The sequence below is a fragment of the Homo sapiens genome, chromosome 6, assembly GCF_000001405.40.
Source record: "Homo sapiens chromosome 6, GRCh38.p14 Primary Assembly".
In the NCBI taxonomy this organism is placed as follows: Eukaryota; Metazoa; Chordata; class Mammalia; order Primates; family Hominidae; genus Homo; species Homo sapiens.
This window is the reverse complement of record NC_000006.12, coordinates 69653535-69678630: the sequence shown is the minus strand read 5'-3', so window position 1 is coordinate 69678630 and position 25096 is coordinate 69653535. Positions and strand designations below refer to the sequence as shown.

The 25096-nt window shown below is 38.2% G+C and overlaps 1 protein-coding gene across 4 annotated transcripts in view, besides 1 other annotated feature; it reads left to right on the top strand.

Annotated features, from left to right (window-relative positions):
• LMBRD1 (LMBR1 domain containing 1) overlaps positions 1-4621 on the top strand; it is a 123001-nt gene extending 118380 nt beyond the window's left edge. For all 4 annotated transcript variants that reach the window (NM_018368.4, NM_001367272.1, NM_001367271.1 and 1 more), the window contains exons 15-16: positions 2090-2181; positions 2360-4621. In NM_018368.4, coding sequence (NP_060838.3) covers positions 2090-2181; positions 2360-2473 — 206 coding nt within the window. In that variant the 3' untranslated portion in view covers positions 2474-4621. The remainder of the gene's footprint in view (positions 1-2089; positions 2182-2359) is intronic.
• Positions 23045-23546: an enhancer, noted in NCBI's record as "H3K27ac hESC enhancer chr6:70364977-70365478 (GRCh37/hg19 assembly coordinates)". NCBI's record gives its function as "activates a minimal SCP1, AML or CMV promoter by ChIP-STARR-seq in primed H9 embryonic stem cells {active_cell/tissue: H9 hESC(primed)}" and the evidence as "EXISTENCE:reporter gene assay evidence [ECO:0000049][PMID:30033119]".

Genomic DNA, 25096 nt, shown 5'->3' with positions numbered 1-25096 from the left:
TTTGAATAAAAATATGTAGAAATTATAATTTATTTTGTAATTAACAGACTGAAAAGAAGTAGGCCTTCTGAAATTTGTGAGGTTAGTATCCTCTATTAGATGCAGCATATATAATTTTACACTCAATTACATAATGTAGTTGACCCTTGAACAACACAAGTTTGAACTGCATGGGTTCACTTATGCCAGATTTTTTTTCAATAAAAGTTTCAGTTGCCTCTCCTGCCTCCTATTCTACTTCCTTCACCTCTTCCACCTCTGCCACTTGAGACAGCAAGACCAACCCCTCCTCTTCCCCATCCTTCCCCTTCCCATCAGCCAATTCAATGTAAAGACAATGAGGATAAAGACCTTTATGATAATCTACTTCCACTTAATAGTAAATATATTTTCACTTTTTATGATTTTCTTAATAACATTTTCTTTTCTTTAGCTTACTTTATTGTAAGATCATAGTATGTAATATACATAACATACAAAATATGTGTCAATCTATAGTTCGTGTTATCAGTAAGGCCTCCAGAAAACACCAGGCTATTTAGTAGTTACGTTTTGGAGAAGTCAAAAGTTATATGTGGATTTTTGATTGTGTGTGGTGGTTGGCAACTCTAACCTGTTTTGCTTGAGGGTCAACTGTACTGTGTTGCCACAGGCCTCTCTGAATGGCTTGAATATGTGTAGATGACTTTGCAACTAATGGAAATAATGTATTTGTACAAAACTAATATGGGGTTTACACAAATATCAAATAACCAGTCTGCTACTTTCTCTTTGAGAGTTACATTTTATTTGAAGGAGAAAAATATATGATTTATTTTTAATTACATCTATAATGCCGTCTAAAGTTCAAACAGGAATCACATCAGTAAATAATGATTTTCCTATTTCTTTAGAAGTAGTAGTCATCCATTCAATAGCAGTCATAAAAAGATAAAAGCTGAAAGAAACCTCTCAAGCTTGAGCTGCCGTGAGAATTGGTTTCTTAGAAAAGTGTGTTGGGGATAAGAAAATGATAGCACACACTGTAACATGCTAAGTACTTTGAACTGAAGGATATTGGAAGACCCCCAGAAGCAAAGTATCCTTTCAACCTTCCCTTGCCCTTCTTTCTTCTGTTCCCCTTTCTCTCCCAAGGCAGACCATAGAAACTGGAACTTCTCTTCCCCCAACCATGTCATAGAAATTAGAACCCCACTTTTCCAAAGCCAGCCATAAACCTAGAAATATTATTCTAACCTTCCCCTGCCTTTCTATGTAGGAGCTGGCCATAAAGAAATTCTATGACCTACCTTGTCTAATAGTAGGTCATAAGACCCTCATTCCAAAAGGAGTTCTGCCCTATACCTTGAAGGAGGGGATGCTGTGTAGAAAGACCAGGAAGAATCTGAACATACAGACCTTGCTGGCTTTCCCCGCTCAGTCTGTTACCATTTGGTTATACACTTTTGTCCAATTACTCTCTATTCTTAGCTCTTAGCTCTCCATTCTTCATTGACGAAGCTTGAAAATACACAGTTTTCCCTTGAGTCTTCATTTCTGAAGCCTCCTGTGTCATGTAAAACTGACTAAATAAATTTGTTATGCTTTTCTCTTGTTAACCTGTCTTCTGTTATAGGAGTGTTGACCGTGAAACTTACAATGGGTGAGGAAAGGTATTAGACCTTTCTGCCCCTACAAGTGCAACTTAATACTGACCACATCTGATTACTTTGTTCTTTCTTCTTGATGTTCATCAGGAAAACTTTTTTTTTGTTTTATGATATGTCTGACACTCCAAGTAAAAATGATTCTTCTATTTCCAGTAAAGCAAACTAGTCAAGATGATTTTTTTATACTTAAGATCTGGATTGCATTGGTGGCATTCATTTTTTTTTTAATATGTCATATTAATTGGCAGTTTTTAACACTACATTAAGGTGATTGAAAGAGTGGGCTTTGGAGAGAGACCTAAGTTTCAGTACCATCTCTGACACTTACTAGCCATATGATCTTAGTCATTAGCTTTGGTTAATAATCTTTTAGAGAAAGTATTAATCATCAATTTTATGAAAGAACCTATCTCACCATAGTCTTTTATTTGCTTTCACAGATCAGTGTACTGTTACCCGGACATACCTATTCCTTCACAAGTTCTGGTTCTTCAGTGCTGCTTACTATTTTGGTAACTGGGCCTTTCTTGGGGTAAGTGCAGATATCCCACGCGTGATTTGACCTTCCTTTATAAATTATAGTTAAATGTGTAAACTCTTTTTATCTTACTAGGCCATTTGTATCATAGTACTGTCATTGAATTTTAAAGCATTACTTTCCAGATGATTTTAAATTTGAAAAATAACACATGGCTTATTTAAATTTACAGGTATTTTTGATTGGATTAATTGTATCCTGTTGTAAAGGGAAGAAATCGGTTATTGAAGGAGTAGATGAAGATTCAGACATAAGTGATGATGAGCCCTCTGTCTATTCTGCTTGACAGCCTTCTGTCTTAAAGGTTTTATAATGCTGACTGAATATCTGTTATGCATTTTTAAAGTATTAAACTAACATTAGGATTTGCTAACTAGCTTTCATCAAAAATGGGAGCATGGCTATAAGACAACTATATTTTATTATATGTTTTCTGAAGTAACATTGTATCATAGATTAACATTTTAAATTACCATAATCATGCTATGTAAATATAAGACTACTGGCTTTGTGAGGGAATGTTTGTGCAAAATTTTTTCCTCTAATGTATAATAGTGTTAAATTGATTAAAAATCTTCCAGAATTAATATTCCCTTTTGTCACTTTTTGAAAACATAATAAATCATCTGTATCTGTGCCTTAGGTTCTCCAGAGTGATGTGGAATTTTAAAGTGTCTCTCTCTGATTGCCTCCAAATAATATTTACAATATAGCTGATGAATGTTACTCCCATATGCAAATTGTTTTCAGTTTTCTGCATAAAATCTTTAGCACCACTCAAGTAGATTTCATGAAAAGATTTCAAACTCTAGTTAGTGCTCTAAGAGCATGGCGTTCCAAGATGTGTTATATTGTTCAAATATCAGTCCATTAGATAACTTACAACCTCTACAGTATTTAAGGCATACATATTGTTATAGGTAGCTTTTGTTTTGCATCTGACCTCAAAATGTGTATTTCAATATAAATAGGGGTATTGTCAAGAATAATTAATCCTGGAAAAAAAAATCAGTTTATGGATTAATTTAAGATATATGGCATCATATTTTGGTTTTAGAGATAATTTTTCATTCTAAAGATTTGAAATTTGCAAAAGATGTAATGAAAGCTGTATGACATCAGTAGGGTATTTTGAACACATTCTGGATAGTGAGAAATAATAAAAAATTATATTCTAGTTTACTAACATAAGCACATTAGAACTCATAAAAAAGTATATATCATGATCCTTGAGGTAAAATATCATTAAGTTTCTGAAAAAAAGTTTAGGAATTAACAACTATATCTAAGTTAATTATTCTCTCCCTTAATTTTTGTGCCATTTTTCTCTGTTCTGATTCTTCATCTCTCTTGATAAACCTTCACAGCTTTCGTATTTGGCTTCTGCTTCTGCAACTACCCTTTAGCATTATTCACCAGGATTTCATTCCCTTCTGTTCTTATTTTACATTTTCTTTTTTCTTTTTTTTTAAGATGGAGTTTCACTCTTGTCGCCCAGGCTGGAGTGCAATGGCACGATCTCAGCTCACTGCAACCTCCCCTTCATGCATTCAAGCAATTCTCCTGCCTCAGCCTCCTGAGTAGCTGGGATTACAGGCATGTGCCACCATGCCTGGCTAGTTTTTGTATTTTTAGCAGAGATGGGGTTTCACCATCTTGGCCAGGCTGGTCTTGAACTCCTGACCTCATGATCCACCCACAGTGGCCTCCCAAAGTGCTGGGATTACAGGCATAAGCCACCACGCTCGGCCTTATATTACATTTTCTTTGTGGACAATCTCACATACCCTTGGCTTCTATCTATACTACTTGTTCTTAAGCTCTGAACTTTGAGTTATCTTTTAGCTAGAAATTACTGCTTCAACTGTAACATTTTGAAAATTGAAGTATTCACTTTTGTGGGGGCAAACTAAGCCTTCTTCTGCATTCATTTTTTTGACAAATGGCACCGCAGACACTTGATTGCCTAAACAAAGAATCAGGTAGATCTCCATATCTCTTCTGTATAACTGACTCATCAAACAATCATGTCATGTTAATTTCTACTTCCTATCTTTCCATTTGTCCCTTCTTCTCCACTTTCTATGTTATAGGCTGAATTGTGTCCCCTTACAATTCATATGTTGAAATCTTGTCCCCTGGTACTTCATAGAATAATACTTTATGTGGAGATAGGGCCTTTTAAAAGTAATTAAAGTAAAATGAGGCTATTGCGTGAAGCCCAAATCCAATATGACTGGTGTTCTTATAAGAAGGGGGAGAGACATCTAGAATGTGTATGTACAAAGAAGAGGCCATGTGAGGATGCAATGAGAAGGCAGTGGTCTGCAAGCCAACAGGAGAGGCCTCAGGAGAATCCAGTGTTGTCAACCCTTTAATCTTGAGGTTCCAGCTTCCAGATCTGTGAGAAAATAAATTTCTGTTGTTTAAGCCACTGAGTCTGTGGCATTTTGTGATGGCAGCCCAAGCAGACTGATAAACTCTGGTTCTTGAAATTCCTCACTGGGCTTTCTGCAAAGTCTTGACTCCTTTCAGTCTTTTCTGAACATTTAAAATACAAATCTGATTATTTCATTTCTTTACTGCAAAAAGCTTTCAGTTATTTTAGAATGAACTCCATAAGCCTTCATGGGATAGATAATGCCTTTCTGGTGTGCATCTCTTCTGACTCCAAGTTCCCCTGCCATCCCCACACCAGTTATATGAGGCAGCTAACAAATGGCTCCTATTATTCACATGGCTATGAGTCTTCACATCCCCACTCTGTCGAACTATTCCTTCTGCTTTTGATGCCTGTCCCTTCCTTTTGTCTTCTAAGAAAATCCTTATTCTTCAAGTCTCAGCCTTAGCATTATCTCCCTAGGTCCCTCCTCCCCCAGGTTGCCCACACACAGGTGCTAGCTCCTCCCTATCCACATGTCACCCTGTACGGTATATTGTGATTTATTGCCTAGACTCTAAGTACTTAAACACAACATCTGGTTTTTCAACTTTGTCCTTGGTGCCTAGAATAGCTTCTTACACATGGGAGGTATTCAGTTGACAGGTGAATTTGTTAGAAAGAAGCCTTAAGCTTTGTCTATATGGTTTAAGCATACAAAAACTATTTTGAGTAAGGAGGAATATTTAGCCTGTTTTTGAGGTTGATTTTGAAACCTACAAGGTTAGAAGTATTTGTCTTGAATACTCCATATACTTTTCATTACTTTTAGTAATGTTTTGTTGGTTTCTGTCAGACCAACTTCTTAGCTTTTGATTTTGTTAGTTGTATTTTTTAAATGTATTTTTTTCATCCTAGATTCTATAAACTTTCTACATATTTAGAAGTTTACTTTTATTCTAACACTAAGGTATTTTTTTCCTCCCAGTCATGTGGAATGCCTTTATTAACTTTGCATTTTCATGAAGCTGATTTGTGTTATGAATTCCACTAATGAAGAACATATTTCCTTTGAAGTCCTTCTGGAAAATACCTAAATTAGAGATCATCTAAAGTGACAACTTTCCAAAAGGCCAAGGCTGTCATGTTCCATGTAAACTTCAAACAAGTGATTATTCATCCATGCAACAAGGTACTGGCAGAATGAGGACCCTGGAACTGACTTCTAGCTCAGTGCTACCATACCAAAGGAAATGAAAAATGCATATTGCAAAAGAAAAGGAAACACAGGAGCTTCAGGAAAGCAAAAAGCAATACAGAAAATAATGTTTTCCAAATATACTACCGAGCTCTTCAGTGAAAGATACGTACATAGTTCAGTAATATACTGTTTTAGAATCATTTCATAGGCAAAGCACAGTAAACACTGATTACAGCACAGAATTTAAGTATGACCTTGACCACATAAAAAGACAGTTGTGAAAACCTGGAAGAATGAAGAAGAGGGGTGGAAAGAGACCTAAGGGGAAAAGAGTTCATGTTGATATCCTCATTTTATGAGAGGGATGATGGGGAGAAGAGAGAAATTAAGAAATATGTCTCTGGTAGAGGGATTATATATCTTGAAGGGTAGCAGAGTATGCCACCCCAAAATATGCCATTTTGGCATACAAATTATTTTGAGCTTGTAACAGCAGATGCAAGAAGGATGCTTTGACCACCCCTTTTTCTTCCTAAAACAGGACATAAAAACTCCCATATGGAAGATGTCCTGTCTATACCAGAAGGAAAGTTAAATTTTTGTCATAAGGGCTGAGAAAAACCTGTACAAACCAACCTTGTTAAAGAAACCCTTATTGTATTAGTCCATTTGTGTTGCTATAAAGTAATACCTGAGTCTGTGTAATTTACAAAGAAAAAAGTTTATTTGGCTTACTGTTCTTCAGGCTATACAAGCAAGCTGGTGCCAGCATCTGCTTCTGGTGAGGCCTCAGGAACCTTACAATTATGGTGGAAGTAGAAGGGGAAATCTACGTATCACATGGTGAGAGCAAGCAGAGGAGGTTCCAGGCTCTTTTAAACAACCAGCTCTAGCATGAATTGATAGAGAACTCACTACCACTAGGACAGCACCAAACCCGGTTACTCATGAGGGATGTGCCTCCATGACCAAAACACCCCCCACCAGGCCCCTCCTCCAACACTGGGGATCACATTTTAACATGAGATTTGAAGGGGACAAACATGCAAAATATATCTCATTTTCCCAGTTACTGTTCCACCATTTTCTGCCCTGGCCCCAGCCCCTTTGTCTTGCCACATTTTTGTAATTTACTACTCTTTGTCCAATTCAATATGAAGTATTCAACTCTTACTAATTTGTTTGCTTTTCTCCTGTTAATTTGTCTTCTATTACAGAGCCCCAGCTGGGGCTCCTAAAATGGACAGAGAAAAGATTTTTTCCTCCCCTACAGCTGATTAAAGCTATGGGGGTAATCAATACAGCATCTAAAATGGTAATACAGGTTGATTATCCCTTATCCAAAATGCTTGGGAACAGAAGTGTTTTGGATTTTGAGTTTTTTTGTTTTAGAATATGTGCAGAATACATACCAGTAGAGCATTCCTAATCAAAAAATACGAAATCTGTAATGCTTCAGTGAGCATTTCCTTCAAGCATCATGTTGATGCTAAAGAAATTTCAGATTTTGGAGCATTTCAGATTTCAGATTTTCAAATTAGAGTTACTCAATGTGTATAACAATGTTAGGAGATGGAATAAAAGAGAAGCAAGAAGAAAATGTCTCAAGAAATTCTCTTACTGTAGGAAGTCAGTAGACAATATTTAAATATATTAAAGATAAAAAATACGTAAAGGAGAAATTTTATCAGAAGATAATAGCCATTGTGATTATATGTAAATATGTCTTGGAATTTTCTGGCAGCCGAGAAAAAAGATGATGGATAATGAAGATTTTACATTTGATAGAAGGAAGCACTCAGTTTTCCTCCTGATAATTTTTTCTGGCACCAAAATTTAGAAGGAAGTTACATTGTGAATTATTATGTAAAGAATGTTAACGAACAAATGTCTTTGCTAAAGTTTAAATAGAAAGACCATATGCAAGGAGACAGAATTTGGGATCTCCAGGAAAATCATTTTGGCTATCAAGAAATCTCAACATGGATTAGCTTTGTGTGTATGTAACTTATTCACTCAGCAAACATCTAAACTTGTAGTTATTTCAGGCACTGGATCGCGGCTACTGAATTTCTACAGTTAAAGAAGATAAGACCCATCATTTCAGAACTTGATCTAGGTAGGAATTAGTAGCCAAATGGCCTTTGGTAGTAACTGGACCTTGTCAATATCTACTAAGATTGTATGTGTCTGATATGATGAATAAATATACATAAAAGAAATCACTTTATCAAGTTACAGTTATAATCAAAGATACTCCAATTACCAGAATTTTCATATTTCCAAACCACAATACATCCTCTCCTGGAAGCATAATCAGCAGGTTACTTGATGACTGTGGGATTGAAGTGATGTGAGATAGGTAGCAAGGGGCATTTCAGGCATTTTGTGATGACGCTTGATTAAATATCCACCCTTCTTCAGCAGAGACCACTCTAAGGGGACCAGATTGCCCAAGTTGCCCGGATTGAGTTGTGCTGCCTTGGACAGTTCTCAACACATATATTGGCTATGTTTAAGTCTCAAGTGACATACTTTATTAGATTTGTACATATAGATTAAGCTACACCTCAGTTCTAGGAAAGTCACTCTTCTGACCTTTCTCCCTCTCCATGCATATTTTAATTTGGTAAGTTTTATTGGGGGCTACCTTATTCTTCTCATTGGCAAAATCACGAGAAGCACTTCTAATACCACCCATAATCTTCACCTGTGATTTCACAGGGAATTTGAACACTTTCTTTGTAGAACAGAGTCCATAAACAAAGATTAACTTATAACCTAGGGATAGGATAGCATTTCTCTGGAGAACTAAGCCTTTATGGTCAGGAATATAGTTTTCTGTGTGGTTCCCCCATAGGCTCATATCTGCTTCAGCTCTACACTGAAGCTGCTGGATAGTGCTCAAGACAAGTACGTGTGTAAAGCAATGTCTTCTGTTGCCCTAGAAGACACTTTTGATAGCAGATAAGGAGACAACAAAGTTAACACTTGGGGAAATTAGGAAGCACTCAGAGTACCTCATTTCCACATCAAGAGGTGATGTTTCTGTTGACCAAAACAAAATTTGTATCTAAAAGAAATTATTTTTTTACTTGCTCAGAGTTCATTCAGTGGCTCCCCAGGAGCATCTATGATATACTAGATTCTATTCTGGATCTTATTCTAATATTTAATGAAAAGCACTACCAAACTTGATATCTACTGTGCTTACCAGTTTAAGTTCCACTTTCTACTATATTTACCTGAAGCTTTTTGAAAACCTGAAGTGTGTGTATAAGTAAATATTTATACACACACAAAATCTCCATTGTGGAAGACCAGTCTTCCCAGTAAAAGAGTAATTTAAAGGAAATGTAAGTTTATCCCTGATGCATACAGTAACTCCAATGCTGACAAAATATAATCAAGCCTTAAAAGACTTCTGTAATGAATTTAGTGACTCATTCACTTGAACCAATACTTGAGTGCCTAGTATGTATTGGAAACTGCTATAAAATGGAGAAACAAATGAAAACACAAAATCGTGCCTATTTTCAAAGGTGTTTCGAAGCCAGGGGGGCAAATAGACTCAGAAAATTATAATGTCACAAATGCTATAAATGAGAATGCAGTGAGGCTAAAAGTGATACTCCCTTGAGCTTAGGAAAGGCTCAAAACTCTTGAGATAAGCAAATGCTAACCAAATTACAGGCAATAAATTCTTTTAAGCAGAAAGAATCTGGCTTTGGTTTAGTGAAACTATAATGGCTTTAGACAGTGGCAAGGAAGTAACAGTGGGGAAACGTCCTGAAGGGGCTGTGTGACTAGGGGCTATGTGACTAGGGGGCTGTGTGACTAGGGGCTGCGTAACTAGGGGGCTGTGTGACTGGGAAGCAGGGCTGCTGCATTAGAGGTGAGACAGATGGGAAGCCCGGGAGAAGAGTAGGGGCTGCTTCAGCAGTACAAACATGTGAAACATGGTAACCAGATGTCTCCCTCAAAATTACACTCAACCCTGGGAAAAAGGGAAACCCCAAATCAACTGACATTAAGTTTCTGCTCCCTAAGTGGTATGAGAAACAAACTAAGTCATTACAGACATAAATTCTATTTCTTGCATGCCTAAGTTTGCAAAATAAAGTTGTTCATAACCAAAACTAAATATTCTTAGTTACATCACTAGTAAATATTCTGATTTTAACTTGCCACTTAATTGTTCTGTAAATTAGTTACTCCACTATGGGAATAGAGAAAACATTTTTATACTTACATTGTCAAAGTAAAACCTCCTTAAGTTGTACTTACTATTTCAGAATGTTTGATTATTCTCAAGGTTTGTGAACATTTTCTATGAAGGGCCAGATAGTAAATAGGCTTTCACGACCACACAAGGACCCTGTCCCCCCACCCCCCACCCTTTTTTTTTGTTTTCCTTTTTACAACCCTTTAAAAATAAAGATAAATAAATAAATAAAATGCTTGGATTTGTTTTCCTGGCTGTAGTATGCCAACCCCTGAATTGTTCCATTAATCACTTTGCTTAAGGTAGTTTGAGCTTGATGGAACAAAGACAAGTAGGCTAAAGACAAATACAAACTTGGGAGATTGTTAATGAGAAAGAACTTTTTTCAAACACTTTTAGCACATTTCACAATTTTTTAAAGGCTAAACAACTTTTATTCTGAGTTTAAAGGTGATATGAACTTGTAAAATAATTCAAACAACTCAGAAATTGTGGCTGAACAAGAAAGTGAGTGAGCAGAATACGCATTGATCTTCAGATTTCTTTGGGGATCCATTCATCCCACATCTTCTCATATGGAACCCAGTTGGAGAAATGATGGACAAACTGATCTCTAAGTGACCTTCACCTCTAATATTTGTGACCGATTTCTTTCTTTTGGTTAAAGAGAATTATAAGTGAGACTCCAGGGTTAAAAATTGTTGAGTACAAGAGGTTTTTCTCTTTGTGCCGCAGTTTCCTCATCTGCAAAATTGGGATAATAATACTAACCGGTTCATGGGACTATTGAGGGCACTAAATTTGTATAAAGTGCTTAGTATAGTGCCTGTGAAGTGTTAAACTCAATATTTATTAGCTACTATTGTTACTATTTCTAAGATAACTTTATTTCATAATGCTCTTTAACCATCAGGGCTTCAAACCCTTTAAGAAATGCACCTTAACCCCTTTTTCACTTTGCTTCATTGCTTGTCTTCCTGTACCTTAACCCTAGGTTAAGTAACTAACGAGTCAAAAACAAGCACTTAGTTGTATTATGAGAGCTCAAAGCATAAAGAACCCTAAAGGGTAAATATTTTTGAGACTAAAAAAAAGGTTTCTGTAATGTAAATCATGCCTATTATCATCTCTATATTTTTGCTTAATGATCTTATTTTCTTCAAACTGTATTTCAAAACTCCAAATAATGAAATGCAAGTATAACACATTACAATTATTTCAAGCTTAGAAGCAGTCAGAGCACTTAATTACCAAGAACAAGCCATTGTGTTCCACCTTTTTCACATTGCTGTCTTGAAAAGACTAGTGTAGTCTTTGCCTATCAGTTTTGTTGTTCTGTTTAATATACAGAATGAAAGCTTTCTCTTCAAATTCCTCATGGGAACATTGTGAATTCACAACGAACATTTGTAAACCTTTTTTTTTTTTTTTTTTTTTTTTTTGGAAACAGAGTTTCACTCTGGTTGCCCAGGCTGGAGTGCAATGACGTGATCTTGGCTCACTGCGACCTCCACCTCCTGGGTTCAAGTGACTCTCTTGCCTCAGCCTCCCGAGTAGCTGGGATTACAGGCACCCGCCACCATGCTTGGTAATTTTTTTGTATTTTTAGAAGAGGCGGGGTTTCTCCATGTTGGTCAGGCTGGTCTGGAGCTCCTGACCTCAGGTTACCGCCCACCTCGGCCTCCCAAAGTGTTGGGATTACAGGCGCGAGCCACTGTGCCTGGCCTTGTAAAACTTACTTTTTTTAAGAATGAATAAAAAAATTGTGTACATACCATCATTGCAGAGTACAAAAAGTAAAATGGAATGAAATTGCTGTCACTTGACAGGCTAAAATATGCAATTTATTACATAAGCATCTGTTTCCTCATTTACCTCCAGTAAGCTTACTGCCCTCAATAGGCTGGTAAAAGTAGAAAGAGAAGACTTACCTGTGACTAATGTCCATCCTCATACTGCTGTGAAGAAATACCTAAGACTGGGTAATTTATAAAGAAAAGCAGTTTAATTGACTCATAGTTCTGCATGGCTGGGAAGGCCTCAGGAAACTTAGAATTTGGTGGAAGGGAAAGCAAACCCAAGCTTCTTCACATGATGTCGGGAGAGAGAAGTGCCAAGTGAAGGGGAGAAAAGCCTCTTATAAAACCATGAGATCTCCTGAGAACTCACCATCACAAGAAGAGCATGGGGGAGCCGCCCCCATCATCTAGTCACCTCCCACATTGTCCCTCCTTCAACACATGGGGATTACAATTCGGATTGCAATTCAAGATGAGATTTGGGTTGGGACACAGCCAAACCATATCAATATCTAACATGGTTTGTTTAATAACTGAATGATTTTTGGCAAGTTATTTTGCTTCTGTAAGTGTGTTTCTTCATCTGTAAAATGAAGTCACGTTACCTACTCTGTTGCATTATCAAAAGGATCTACAGCACCCAGATTGTAGTAGACACTCAACCAGTATCACCAAGAGCCACTCTAAACACATAAAGTTGGAGACCTAAAATGGAAAAAATTGGAAAGCACAAAGTTGGAGGCTAAAATGAAATTGAATGCTTTTGAGTAGGGTATATAAACTCCAGTTGGCCACTCTCCCCACCCAGTAGTATCATACATTTGCAAATACATACTCCATACTCCTAGAAGACTTTTGCCTTGGACCCTGGGCCCTTGGTTCTGTCCCTGGAATTCAAATGGATAAGCCTCCCAGAGGAGTAGTTAAACCAAAAACACTCTGAGATCTCATAATACCAAAAACACAGACACATATAAAAACACATATTTTTCCCCATCTAGCATTTTCTGTGAGCTGACTGAACAGAAGAGGAGAGCTATGAAGACATATAAAGCATTGGCCCTGCCCAGTAAAGAACTTTTCCATTCACTGATGTGTTTTTTTTTCCCCTGAAACTTGGAATTAAAATTACATACTATAAAGTTTACAGAAACAGAAAGTAGATGTGTGGTTACCAGGGGCCAAGGGGTGGGAAAAACAGATATTAATCAAAGGGTACAAACTCTCGGTTATAAGATGAATAAGTTCTGGAGACCTAGTCACTGTACCTAATAATAATGTAAATTTTCTAGATTGTAAGTATTTTCGCCACGAAAACACACACAAAAAACCTGTGAGGTGATAGACACATTAATTAGCTTGATTGTAATAATCATTTCACAATGTATACATATATCAAAACATTGCATTATACAATATATATGATTTTTGCCAATTATACCCCAATAAAACTAAAGAAAATAAATTTTAAAAGTTACAATAGTATATTATGGCTAGGACAGAATTACATAGTATGTTATGGCCAAGGCAAACAAATGCAGTAAAATGTAAATGCAAAATACAATGAATTAATTCTCTGTCTTAACTTTAATTCTTCTCAGTCCTAATATTTTTCCTCTTTCTCCTAACGCTGTAAAAACTGAACATCTCCTTTTTCATCTATGCTACTTAAGGTGTCAATTTTATGTGTAAAAAAATATAGTTTCACAGGAATCAAAGATGAACAACCCCCAGTAGCCTTTCTCAACGTGGTAGCTGTCTGTTTTCTCAACCTCTCCCAATTTAGTTGTTGAAGTAATTTCCCTGGGGGATTTTTTGCTTCTCTCTTTCAAAACTGTCTTTCTCTTCCCTTTGGTTTGACAGAAAAAGAAGAAATTTCAACTATAGAAGTCCCACATTTCCCAGCATGACTCTATTTTTCTACTCAGTAAAAGTAGTTTCTCACCTTTTCTAAGCCACAGTCAACTCGCTCTCTACTGGATTTCTTTATGCCTATTGCAAATTTTTGCCTTGATCCAGGCTGCTCATATGTAAAAGGGTCATACTTTTCACTCAATATATATCAAAGCAATATTGAAAAATGTATCTACCTACTCAGCATATTTAACCTGTATATGAATTTGTCCCCCTACCATAGATTTTTAAATGAAATAATCAAAAACCATCCAAACAAAAAACAGGGTTTGCTCTCACTACCAAAAAATCACAGCAACTTCAAAGTCACACTTTTCTGTTCTGATTGTCCTTTTGAAATAGAGATATAAAAATTTATGTATTTATAAAATTAAGCGCTTTTAGAACCATCAAAGAAGATGAGAGTCATTAGGGGCCACAGAAATTTCTAAAGGTTCCATAAAAGAAAGCCAGGGGCAATGCCCTGGCTGCAACCTCAGAAGCCCCATGAGAGGGGTTTCCAGTTCTGCAGTAGCAATTTAAACTATTGGCCCAGGAGCTTGACTGGTTTTTAACAACTAGCATGAGCAACCTTGCCTTTGTCATTTCTCTTTGTCATATGCCTTTGTCATACCTGGTTTTTGCTTAGTCCTCCATCTCAGTATCCCAGTCTCATTTCCACCCATTCTCAGCACCCTACCTCCATCCCCCTTTCGTTTGCTGCTGCTCAGCAACCTCGCTTGATCCCTCTCTCCACCTTGGCTTTACTGGAACAGCCCCTAGAGAAGTACTGGAAGACTGTGGAGCCTGGCTGACCCTGGGCCTGGATGCAACTCAGTTGCTTATTAGCTCTGTGATCTGGGGCAATTCGCTCTGAGGATTCTCAATAGTGTATACATATCACCTACTGTAATGCCTTGGCTTTTAGTAGGCATCCAATAAAAGGTAGTTGCTATTATTTTACACATTGGTATTTCTCCAAACAGAACTAATTCTGCCCAACCATCTCTCTATCTTAGTGGTTGGAATAATGGTTTGCTAATTTCTTTCATCCAAGCCTCCCCTCTCCCCTGCATCCTTGGATAAAAATTATGTCTGTTGGAAATGTTTAGTCGTTTAGGCACAGCAGATGTTTTCCATGAAAATAAACTTTGGCAATTGTTTCAAGAGTCACAATTTTTGAGAGTGTAGAGACCTTAAGGAGTCTCTTGTCTGATATTCAATTAATAGATACTGAAGAGGTAGTCTAGCTGTGATATATGAATCTTTCAGGATAAATCTTTCTTTATATTTACAGCAGCATTCCTATGATATTATTTGCCTGAGAACAACAATTTTATAAGGAGTTACAGTTATCAAATGCAGAGCTCTCCTTCACTCAGAAACATGTGGTGAGCTTTTACTGCGTGCCAGATTCTGGATGAAGCTGGAATTACAAAGACTAGTAAGGACCACAAAACAGAATCCTGTCACAACTTTGAGGAAGTCACATCTCATAAGTGGGCTCACTCAAGAGCTCTCAGAAAAGCACAGATGTGATGACTGTAAATGACAGTGTGAGGCCAATAATATCGACAGCCTTCATTGTGAAACCTTCTGTACACATTTGGTTGGTGACATTGTTTCCAGAATCTCTCATCATCTTCACTGCAAATAATTTGTGACCTTCCCTCCAAAGAAGCTCTTTATATCATTGTGAGCCATTTGATCTGTGATGGTGTTTCCCAGCCATCAGCAGGTGTCCTAGACCCCACCTCGTGAGACACATGTATATAGTTTTATTTAAACTCATAGCTGTACCCAACAAGCAAGTAATCAGTCAGAAAAAATTCCTAAATTTTTTCTGACCAGAATGCCAAGTAGGGCTGTTTATTCCACCTCATCGAGAATCAGACATGAAAGAAGTAAGGATTTTTGCAAACAAATAAGCAAAAATCCTTTTAAGTACAAAAAACTTTGGATAAACACTGTCAAAGGTAAAGGATTGGGAAATATTAATACTGGGCTTTGACTTACAATGTTAGGATTTTAAAAATAAATATTTACAGGCAGTAAATAGATTCCTTCATACTAGAGAAGCACACTGCTCCATTAGCTTACCTGCTGAAATCACTAACAGAGCTTCCACTCCTGTTCCCCAATCTCTCTTATCTTCCTCAAGCTGTAAGGCTTTACAATTTGGATATAGTGTAGTTAGTGCATTATTGTAAATAATGCTAAAAACATCACACAAATCCACTTTTTGAAAACATTCTTTTTACCTGAATGTTTAATCTTATTTTTCCATTTTTATTAAGATTTGGAATAAACAATTTTAAAAGGAAAGCATCTATAGTTAAAAGGATCAAAGTGGGGGCAGGATATGCCTTCGTTTTTTTAGAAATTCACTATGAAAACAACTTTTTGGAAATTTAAGTTGTTCAGGGAGACACATCTGGGGTATACATAAGCATCAGTTTATGCTTTTGATAACTTAAAAAGTAATGGAATCTTGCAAACTTGGATAATACTTTCATGTTAGACTTGTACTGTGTCCTCACTTTTGGAAAAAAGGGAAATGCTGGTTGGTATGGTGATTTGATGTTTCTGTGATCTTTCTCATTCTAAATAACTTCAAATTTCTACTTGTGTATGGGATATGCGTGTGTGTGTGTGTGTGTGTGTGTGTGTGTGTGTGTGAAATTTGTATCATTAAAACTAAGTTACATTTACAAGGCAAAGAGGCAGCCTTTGTACTATTTTGGTACTTTGACTTCTGTAGCCTTGTGGTTTCCAAGTTTGGGCCCTAGATCAGCAGCACAAGAAAAGTGAAAAGTGAAGAAAGAAGGAAACTAATGGAGATGATTTATTCAGATGGCTCCCTGAAAAGGCTCCATATTTTCCAGGTTTTTAAAACAGCCCTTCCTTTGTCCTTTCTATTCTATTCAGCTCTCTCTGTTTAATTCTGTGTTTTTGACTCTTTCCAGACTAATAAGACTGTTCTCGGCTTTGACCATCTTCTCTTTTAGTTTGTCTGTTGAAATTTTTAATTGCTTATTATACATATATATTATATATGTATATATTTAAATTTTAATTAAATGATTGAGTTTATACATGATTATATGGTAAATATGTTAAAATCAAATTACAAGTGCTTTTTTTCAGAAAGTCCATTTTGTGTTCTATTTTCTCCTTATGATTTATTTATTTTTTAAACTTTTAGGTTTGGGGGTACATGTGAAGATTTGTTACATAGACAAACACGTGGCATGTGGGTTTCTTGTACATATTATTTCCTCACTCAGGTATTAAGCCCAATATTCAATAGTTATCTTTTCTGCTGCTCTCCCTCCTCCCAGCCTCCCCCCTCAAGTAGACACCAATGTCTGTTGTTTCCTTCTTTGTGTTCATAAGTTCTTATCATTTAACTCCCACTTATAAGTGAGAACATGCAGTATTTGGTTTTCTGTTCATGTGTTAGTTTGCTAAGGATAATAGCCTTCAGCTTCACCCATGTTCCCACAAAAGCCGTGATTTAGTTCCTTTTTATGGCTCCATAGTATTTCATGGTGTAAATGTACCACATTTTCTTTATCCAATCTGTCATTGATGGAAATTTAGGTTGATTCTATGTCTTTGCTATTGGTGGGAATAGGGCTGTAATGAACATTCACGTGCCATGTGTCTTTACGGTGGAATGATTTACATTCCTCTGGGTGTATACCCAGTAATGGGATTGCTGGTCTAATGACAGTTCTTCTTTTAGCTCTTTGAGGAATCGCCATACTGCTTTCCACAATGTTAGAACTAATTTACACTCTCACCAACCATGTATTAGTGTTCCCTTTTCTCTGAAACCTTGCTAGCATCTGTTATTTTTTGACATTTTAATGATAGCCATTCTGACTGGTGTGAGATGGTATCTCATTGTGGTTTTGATTTACATTTCTCTAATGATCACTGATGTTCAGCTTTTTTTCATAAGATTGTTGGCCACATGTATGTCTTCTTTTGAGAAGTGTCTGTTCAAGTGCTCTGCTCACTTTTTCATGGGGTTGTTTTTCTCTTATAAATTTAAGTTCCTTATAGATGCTGGATATTAGACCTTTGTCAGACATATAGTTTGCAAATGTTTTCTCCCACTCTGTAGGTTGTCTGTTTACTCTGTTGATAGTTTCTTTTGCTGTGCAGTAGCTCTTAAGTTTAATTAGATCCCACTTGTCAATTTTTGCTTCTGTTGTGATTGCTTTTGGTGTCTTTCTCATAACATCTTTGCCGGTTTCTATGTCCAGGATGGTATTGCCTAGGTTGTCTTTCAGGGATTTTATAGTTTTAAGTCTGTAATCCATCTTGAATTGATCTTTTACGTGTGGTGTAAAGAAGGGTTCCAGCTTTAGTCTTCTGCATATAGCTAGCCAGTTATCCCAGCACCATTTATTGAATAGAGAATCTTTTCACCATTGCTTATTTCGGTTTACAAGTGTCTTTTGAGGATTTTTGCATTGATCTTCATTAAGGATGTTAACCTGAAGCTTTTTCTTGTTGATGTTGTTGTGTCTCTGCCAGGTTTTTGGTATCAAGATGATGCTGGCCTCATAGAATGAGTTGGGGAGGAATCCCTCCTCCTCCATATTTTGGAATAGTGCATGTAGGAATGGTGCTAGCTCTTTTTTGTACTCTGGTAGAATTTGGCTATGAATCCATCAGGTCCCAAGCTTTTTTCAGTTGTTAGGCTATTTATTACTGATTCAGTTTTGCAGCTCATTATTGATCTGTTCAGGGAATCAATTTTTTCCTGCCTCAGTCTTGGGAGGGCGAATGTGTCCATGAATTAATCCATCTTTTCTAGGTTTTCTAGTTTGTGTGTGTAGAGGTGTTCAAAGTAGCTTCTTATTTTTTTTTTTTTTTTTTCTGTAGAGTCAGTAGTCACATCCCCTTTGTCATTTCTAATCATGTTTATTTGGTTTTCTTCTCTTTTCTTCTTTATTAGTCTAGCTAGTGGTCTGTTTTATTATTTTTTTTTCAAAAAGCAAACTCTTGGATTCGTTGATATTTTGAATGGTTTTTCATGTCCCAATTTCCTTCATTTCAGCTCTAATTTTTGTTATTTCTCATCTTCTGCTGATCTGTTCTTGCTTCTCTAATTATTTCATTGTGATGTTAGGTTGTTAAGTTGAGATCATTTTAAATTTTTGATATGGGCATTTAGTGCTATGAATTTTCCTCTTAACATTGCCTTATCTGTGTCTGAGAGATTCTGGTATGTTGTATCTTTGTTCTCATTAGTTTCAAAGAACTTCTTGATTTCTGTCTTAATTTAATTATTTACCCAAAAGTCATTCAGAAGCATGTTGTTTAATTTCAATGTAATTGCATGATTTTGAGCAATTTTCATAGTCTTGACCTCTATTTTTATTGCACTGTGGTCCAAGGGTGTGTTTGGTATAAGTTGAGTTCTTTTACATTTGTTGAAGATTGTTTTATGTCCAATTTTGTGGTAGATTTTAGAGTATTTGCCAGGTGATGATTAGAAGAATGTTTATCCTGTTTTTTCCTTGTTTGTTTGTTTGTTTGGGTTGAGAGTTGTGTAAAGGCTTATCGGATCCATTTGGTGCAATGTTGAGTTTAGGTCCTGAATATCTTTGTTGATTTTCTGCCTCAATGATCTGTCTAATAGTGTCAGTGGAGTGTGGAAGTCTCCCACTATTGTTGTGTAGGAGTCTATGTCTCTTGGTAGGTCTCTGTGATGGTTAATACTGAGTGTCAACTTGATTGGATTGAAGGATCCTGAGTGTGTCTGTGAGGGTGTTGCCAAACGAGATTAACATTCCAGTCAGTGGGCTGGGAAAGGCAGACCTGCTTTTAATCTGGGTGGGCACCATCTAGTTAGCTGCCAGTGTGGCTAGAATATAAAGCAGGCAGAAAAATGTGAAAAGATGAGACTGGCCTGGCTTCCCAGCATACATCTTTCTCCCATGCTGGATTCTTCCTGCCCTCGAACATCGTACTCCAAGTTCTTCAGTTTTGGGACTTGGATTGGCTCTCCTTGTTTCTCAGCTTGCAGATGGCCTATTGTGGGACCTTGTGATCATGTCAGTTAATACTTAATAAACTCCCCTCTATTTCTATATCTATCCTATTAGTTCTGTCCCTCTAGAGAACCCTGACTAATACAGTCTCTAAGAACTTGGTTTATGAATCTGGGTGCTCCTGTGTTGGGTGCATATACATTTAGGATAGTTAGATCTTATTGAGTTGAACCCTTTACCATTATGTATTGCCCTTCTTTGTCTTTTTTTTTTAAATCTTTGCTGGTTTTAAATCTGTTTTGTCTGAAATTGGGATTGCAACCCCTGCTTTTTTCAGTTTTCTATTTGCTTGGCAGATTTTCCTACATCGTTATATTTTGAGCTTATGAGTGACATTACATGTGAGATGGGTCTCTTGAAGACAGCATACTATTGGGTCTTACTTTTTTATCCAGTTTGGCACTCTGGGCCTTTGAGTTGAGCATTTAGCCCATTTACATTCAAGGTTAGTATTGACAGGTGTGAATTTGATCCTGTCATTATGATGTTAGCTGGTTACTATGTTGGCTTGTTTGTGTGGTTGTTTTACACTGACATTGGTCTGTGTGTTTAAGTGTGTTTTTGTATTTGCTGATAGTGGTCTTTCCCTTCTAGATTTAGCGTTCCTCTCAAGATCTCTTGTAAGGCAGGTCTGGTGGTAATGAATTCCCACAACATTTGCTTATCTGAAAAGGATCTTATTTCTCCTTCACTTAGAAAGCTTAGTTTGGCTGGATATGAAATTCTTGGTTGAAGACTTTTTTTTTTTTTTAAGAATGTTGAATATAAGCCCCCAATCTCTTCTGGCTTGTAGGGTTTTGGCTGAGAGGTCAGCTGTTAGCCTGATGGGGTTCCCTTTGTAGGTAACATGCCCTTTCTCTCTAGCTGCCTTTAACATTCTTTCTTTACCTTCGACTTTGGAAAATCTGATGATTACGTGTCTTGGGGATGAATGTCTTGCGTACAATCTTGTGGGAGTTCTCTGTTTTTCCTGAATTTAACTGTTAGCCTCTCTAGCAAGGCTGGGGAAGTTTCCATGGACAACATCTTGAAATATGCTTTCCAAATTGTCTGCTTTCTCCCCCTTTCTTTCAGGGATGCCAGTGATTAATAGATTTGGCCTCTTTACATAATCCCATACTTCTTGGAGGTTTTGTTCATTCCTTTTTATTCTTTTTGCTTTATTTTTGTCTGACTGTCTTATTTCAGAGAACCAGTCTTCAAGTTCAGAGATTCTTTCCTCACCTTGGTTTATTCTGCTGTTAATACTTGTGATTGCATTGTGAAATTCTTGTATTGTATTATTCAGCTCTGTCAGAACAGTTAGGTTCTTTTTTATACCAGCTTTGTCTTTCAGCTCCTGTATCACTTTATTGTGATTCTTATTTTCCTTGGGTTGAGTTTTGCTGCCCTCCTGAATCTCAATGATCTTTATTCCTCTCCATATTCTGAATTCTATTTCTCTCATTCTAGCCAGTTCAGCCTGGTTAAGAACTCTTGTTGGAGATTTGGTAAGGTCGTTTGTAGAACATAGGATACTCTGGCAATTTGAGTTACCAGAGTTCTTGTGTTGGTTCTTTCTCATCTCCACATGTGGATGTTCCTTTAATTGCAGCATAGATTGAGCACAGACTGAAGGTCTTAGTGGAGTGGGTTCACAAGGAGATCTCCTGACTGGAGGGTTGCAAAGATCCATCAGAGAAGCGTAGTATTCTGGGGTCACACATTCATTCACTACTGCTTCCCTGGGCAGGAAGTTTTTTTTTCTTCTTCTTCTTTTCTGGATGTTTTCAACAGGCTGAGGTTTTGTGCAGGGTCTTTATTTGAAGCTGACTTCTTGTCTCTGGTTTCAGAGGGGGGTATGTTAGTGAGGTGTTTTTGGTGTTGAAGCTTTGGGGTGTGATCCAGCAGGTGGTGCTTAGACTTATTGGTCAGTTGGTGGACTTTTGCTTAGTTATGTGGCTCCCCTATGTTCTCTCAGTTGCAGCCACGTTCCCTTTCAATGCTCTGAAAGTGTGGATTCCTTTCCTCCTTGAGTGCTGGCTGTAGACTGTGACTTGGAATTCCTGGGCTGCCCACTGCAGCTCTGGGGTGATCTCAGTATTTATGTTCCTTCCCCATCTTGGAGGCAGCGAGCAAGAGACTTTAGTATGATTATGGCCAAGGGGTGTTTGCTTGTCTCCTGGGGGCTCCAACTCAGGGAGATGCAGGTCAGTAATCGCTCAGTGCAATCAGCCCAGGATGAAGGGTCTGTGCTGAGGGCCCCAGCCAAGGTTTTCCTGTCTGGTGTCAAGCGGTGGAGGGTACGTGGGACCCGTGGGAGATGGACTGGCTTCTTCTCCTTGGGTTGGCTGCAGTATGTTGGAGGTGTGGATAATGCACTTTGGGTCTTTGCTCCTTTGATAGTCTGAGGGTGGCAAGGACAGTTCTGCTGCAGAGGCAGTGGCAGAGGAGGCTTTCAGTTGCCCCTGGAGGCTCTGTCCATGGAGTTGCTGAGTTGCTACTGGCTCAATAGCTCTACTGGTGGATCCGGGGGGTGATGGCTGGAAGTCCAGGCCTGGAGAACCTGCCTGGTGAGGAGATAGGGGAATGGGCACCCATATAACAGTCTTTCCACTTTTCTGTAGGGCTGCTGTGGTATGCTAGGGGCCCACTCCAGTCCCTAGTCACCTTAGATTTTCCAGTACCTGGAAGTATCACCAGTGAACCTATGAAACAGCAAAGATGGCAGCCTATCCTTCCCTCTGGCTTTGTCCCAGGGAGGTACAGGCCTGTTGCCATCCCAAAGGTACCTGTAGGAGGTGGGTAGAGATCCTGTTTGGGGGGTCCCACCCAGTGAGGAGGAATGCAATTGGGGACTTACTTAAAAAAGCAGTCTGGCCACATTTTGGTAGAGTACCTGTGCTGTACTGTGAGTCTACTTCAGTCCTCAGTTTCCCCAGACACTCTGAAACCCAAAGGCTGGAACAGCTAAGCTGCCCAAACAGCAAAGATGGTGGCCTGCCTCTCCCTCTGGGAACACTGTCCCAGGGAGAACTCAACTCTCTGTCAGCTGGAGAACACTGGCAGGGGTTGCTGGAGGCCCAGTTTGAGAGGTCCTGCCCAGTGAGGAGAAGTGGATCAGGGACCTGCTTAAAGTAGCAGTCTATGTTTTGGTAGAGCAGCTGTGATGTGCTGAGGGATCCCTTTCACCCCCAGTGGGCTCAGACTCTCTGAAGCCTGAAAGCTGAAACGTCTCAGGCACCCAAACAGCAAAGATGGCAGCCTGGGTCTCCCCCTGGGAGCTCCTTCTTAGGGAGGTACAATGCCACTACTTGTGGCTGGCTGGAATTCCAAGCCAGTGAGTCTCATCTTGTGAGATGCCATGGAAGTGGGGCCTGCTGACTGTCACTGCTCAGCCTCCTGGATTCAGCCTCTTTCCTATGGGTATGTATGGGGGTCTAACATCCCACTTTGCCAGAGTTGCAGCTACTTTTGCCAGAAAGCTCAAGTAGCTAATGCTCCAGGGTCTCCATGCATGCCTGAGTGGCTGCTTTGCTGAGACTCCACATAGCTCTGTCTGTCAGACAGAAGGCCCTAGTGGAGTAGGTTCACAAGGAGATCTGACTGGAGGGTTGCAAAGTTCCATCAGGGAAGCGTGGTTTTCTGGTGTCACACATTCACTCACTACTTTCCCGGGCAGGGGAGGTTCCCCTGGGTCCATGTTGCTTCTGGATGGCCTGTAGTCCTTTTTTGCTTTTCTTCATTCTCCATGGGTCAAGTTGTTTCCTTGATTAGTCCCAATGTGAGTACCTGGATATTTCAGTTGCAGATGTATTTACTTGCCTCTTCCATTCCTCTCTGTGAGAGCCATGCACACTAGCTGCTTCTAGTCGCCCACCTTGGCCACTCTCATCAAGATTTATTGTTAATTTCTTTATGTCTTCATTTATTCTTCAAAAGGAAGTCCTTGTCCTATATAATCAATTTGCCTTGCTTTTTTGGATTACATGGTCCAAGCATATTATGATTTTGCTCTTCTTGCTGAGGAGGTTATATCCCTTCAACATTCAAATTGTTTTAGACCCTCCATTACCAGCAGCAGTGAATGTCTATTCTTGTGGGCCAGTGGTGAATGAATTGGCCAATCATTGTACTTCTGCTGAGATTCTGAGAGAGGGAGCTTTGCTAATGACTAATGATGGTGAGCAACTTTTCATATGTTGATTTGCCATTTGAGAGTCCTTTATTTATTCTAAGTACAAGTTCTTTACGTGATTGGCAAATATTTTCCCCATTTGTGTCTTCACTTTTCATTTTCTTCTCTGTAACTTATAAAGAGCAGCACTTCCTAATTTTGATGAAATCTCATTTATAAATCTATTCTTTTATGTTTGATGTGTCATGTCTAAGAAACCTTTGCCTAAGTATTTTTCAAAAATTTCCCCTAAATTTTCTTCTTAAAGTTTCAGTAGTTTAGGTTTACTTTCAAGTTATTTTTGTATATGGTACAAGTTATACATCGAGGCTTATTATTCTGAATAAATATAGTCAATTGTTTCAGCACCATTTGTTGAAAAGACAATCCTTTATTCACTGAATTGCCTTTGCACTTCTGCAGGAAATCACTTGTCCAATACTTGGCTGTATTTCAGAACTCTATTCTATTGAACTATTTTTCTGTCTTTATGCCAATATTACACTGTTTTGATTACTTTGCACTATTAAAGTAAATTATTGTAAGTTCTACAGCTTTTATTCTCTCTCTCTCTTTTTTTTTTTTTTTTTTTTTTTTTTTTTCTGAGAGGGAGTCTCACTCTGTCACCCAGGCTGGAGTGCAGTGGCACGATCTTGGCTCACTGCAACCTCCACCTTTGGGGTTCAAGCGATTCTGTGCCTCAGCCTTCCGAGTAGCTGGGACTACAGGTGCCCGCCACCACACCTGGCTAATTTTTGTATTTTTAGTAGAGACAGGGTTTCATCATGTTGGCCAAGCTGATAGCGAACTCCTGACCTCAAGTGATCCACCCTCCTCGGCCTCCCAAAGTGCTGGGATTATAGATGTGAGCCTATAATCCACGCCCAGCCTTACCCTCATTTTTTAAAGTTTTAGTTTCTTTGTATTTTCATAAATATTTTAGAGTCAACTTGTCAATTTCTACAAAAAACTTCTACTGGGATTTTGATAAGATTGCACTGAATCTGTAGATTAATTTGGGGACAACTGACTTTATTTTATTTTATTTGAGACAGAGTCTCGCTCTGTTTCCCAGGCTGGAGTGCAGTGGCATGATCTCGGCTCACTGCAACCTCTGCCTCCTGGGTTCAAGCAATTCTCCTGTCTCAGCTTCCCTAGTAGGTTGGATTACAGGTGCCCGCCAC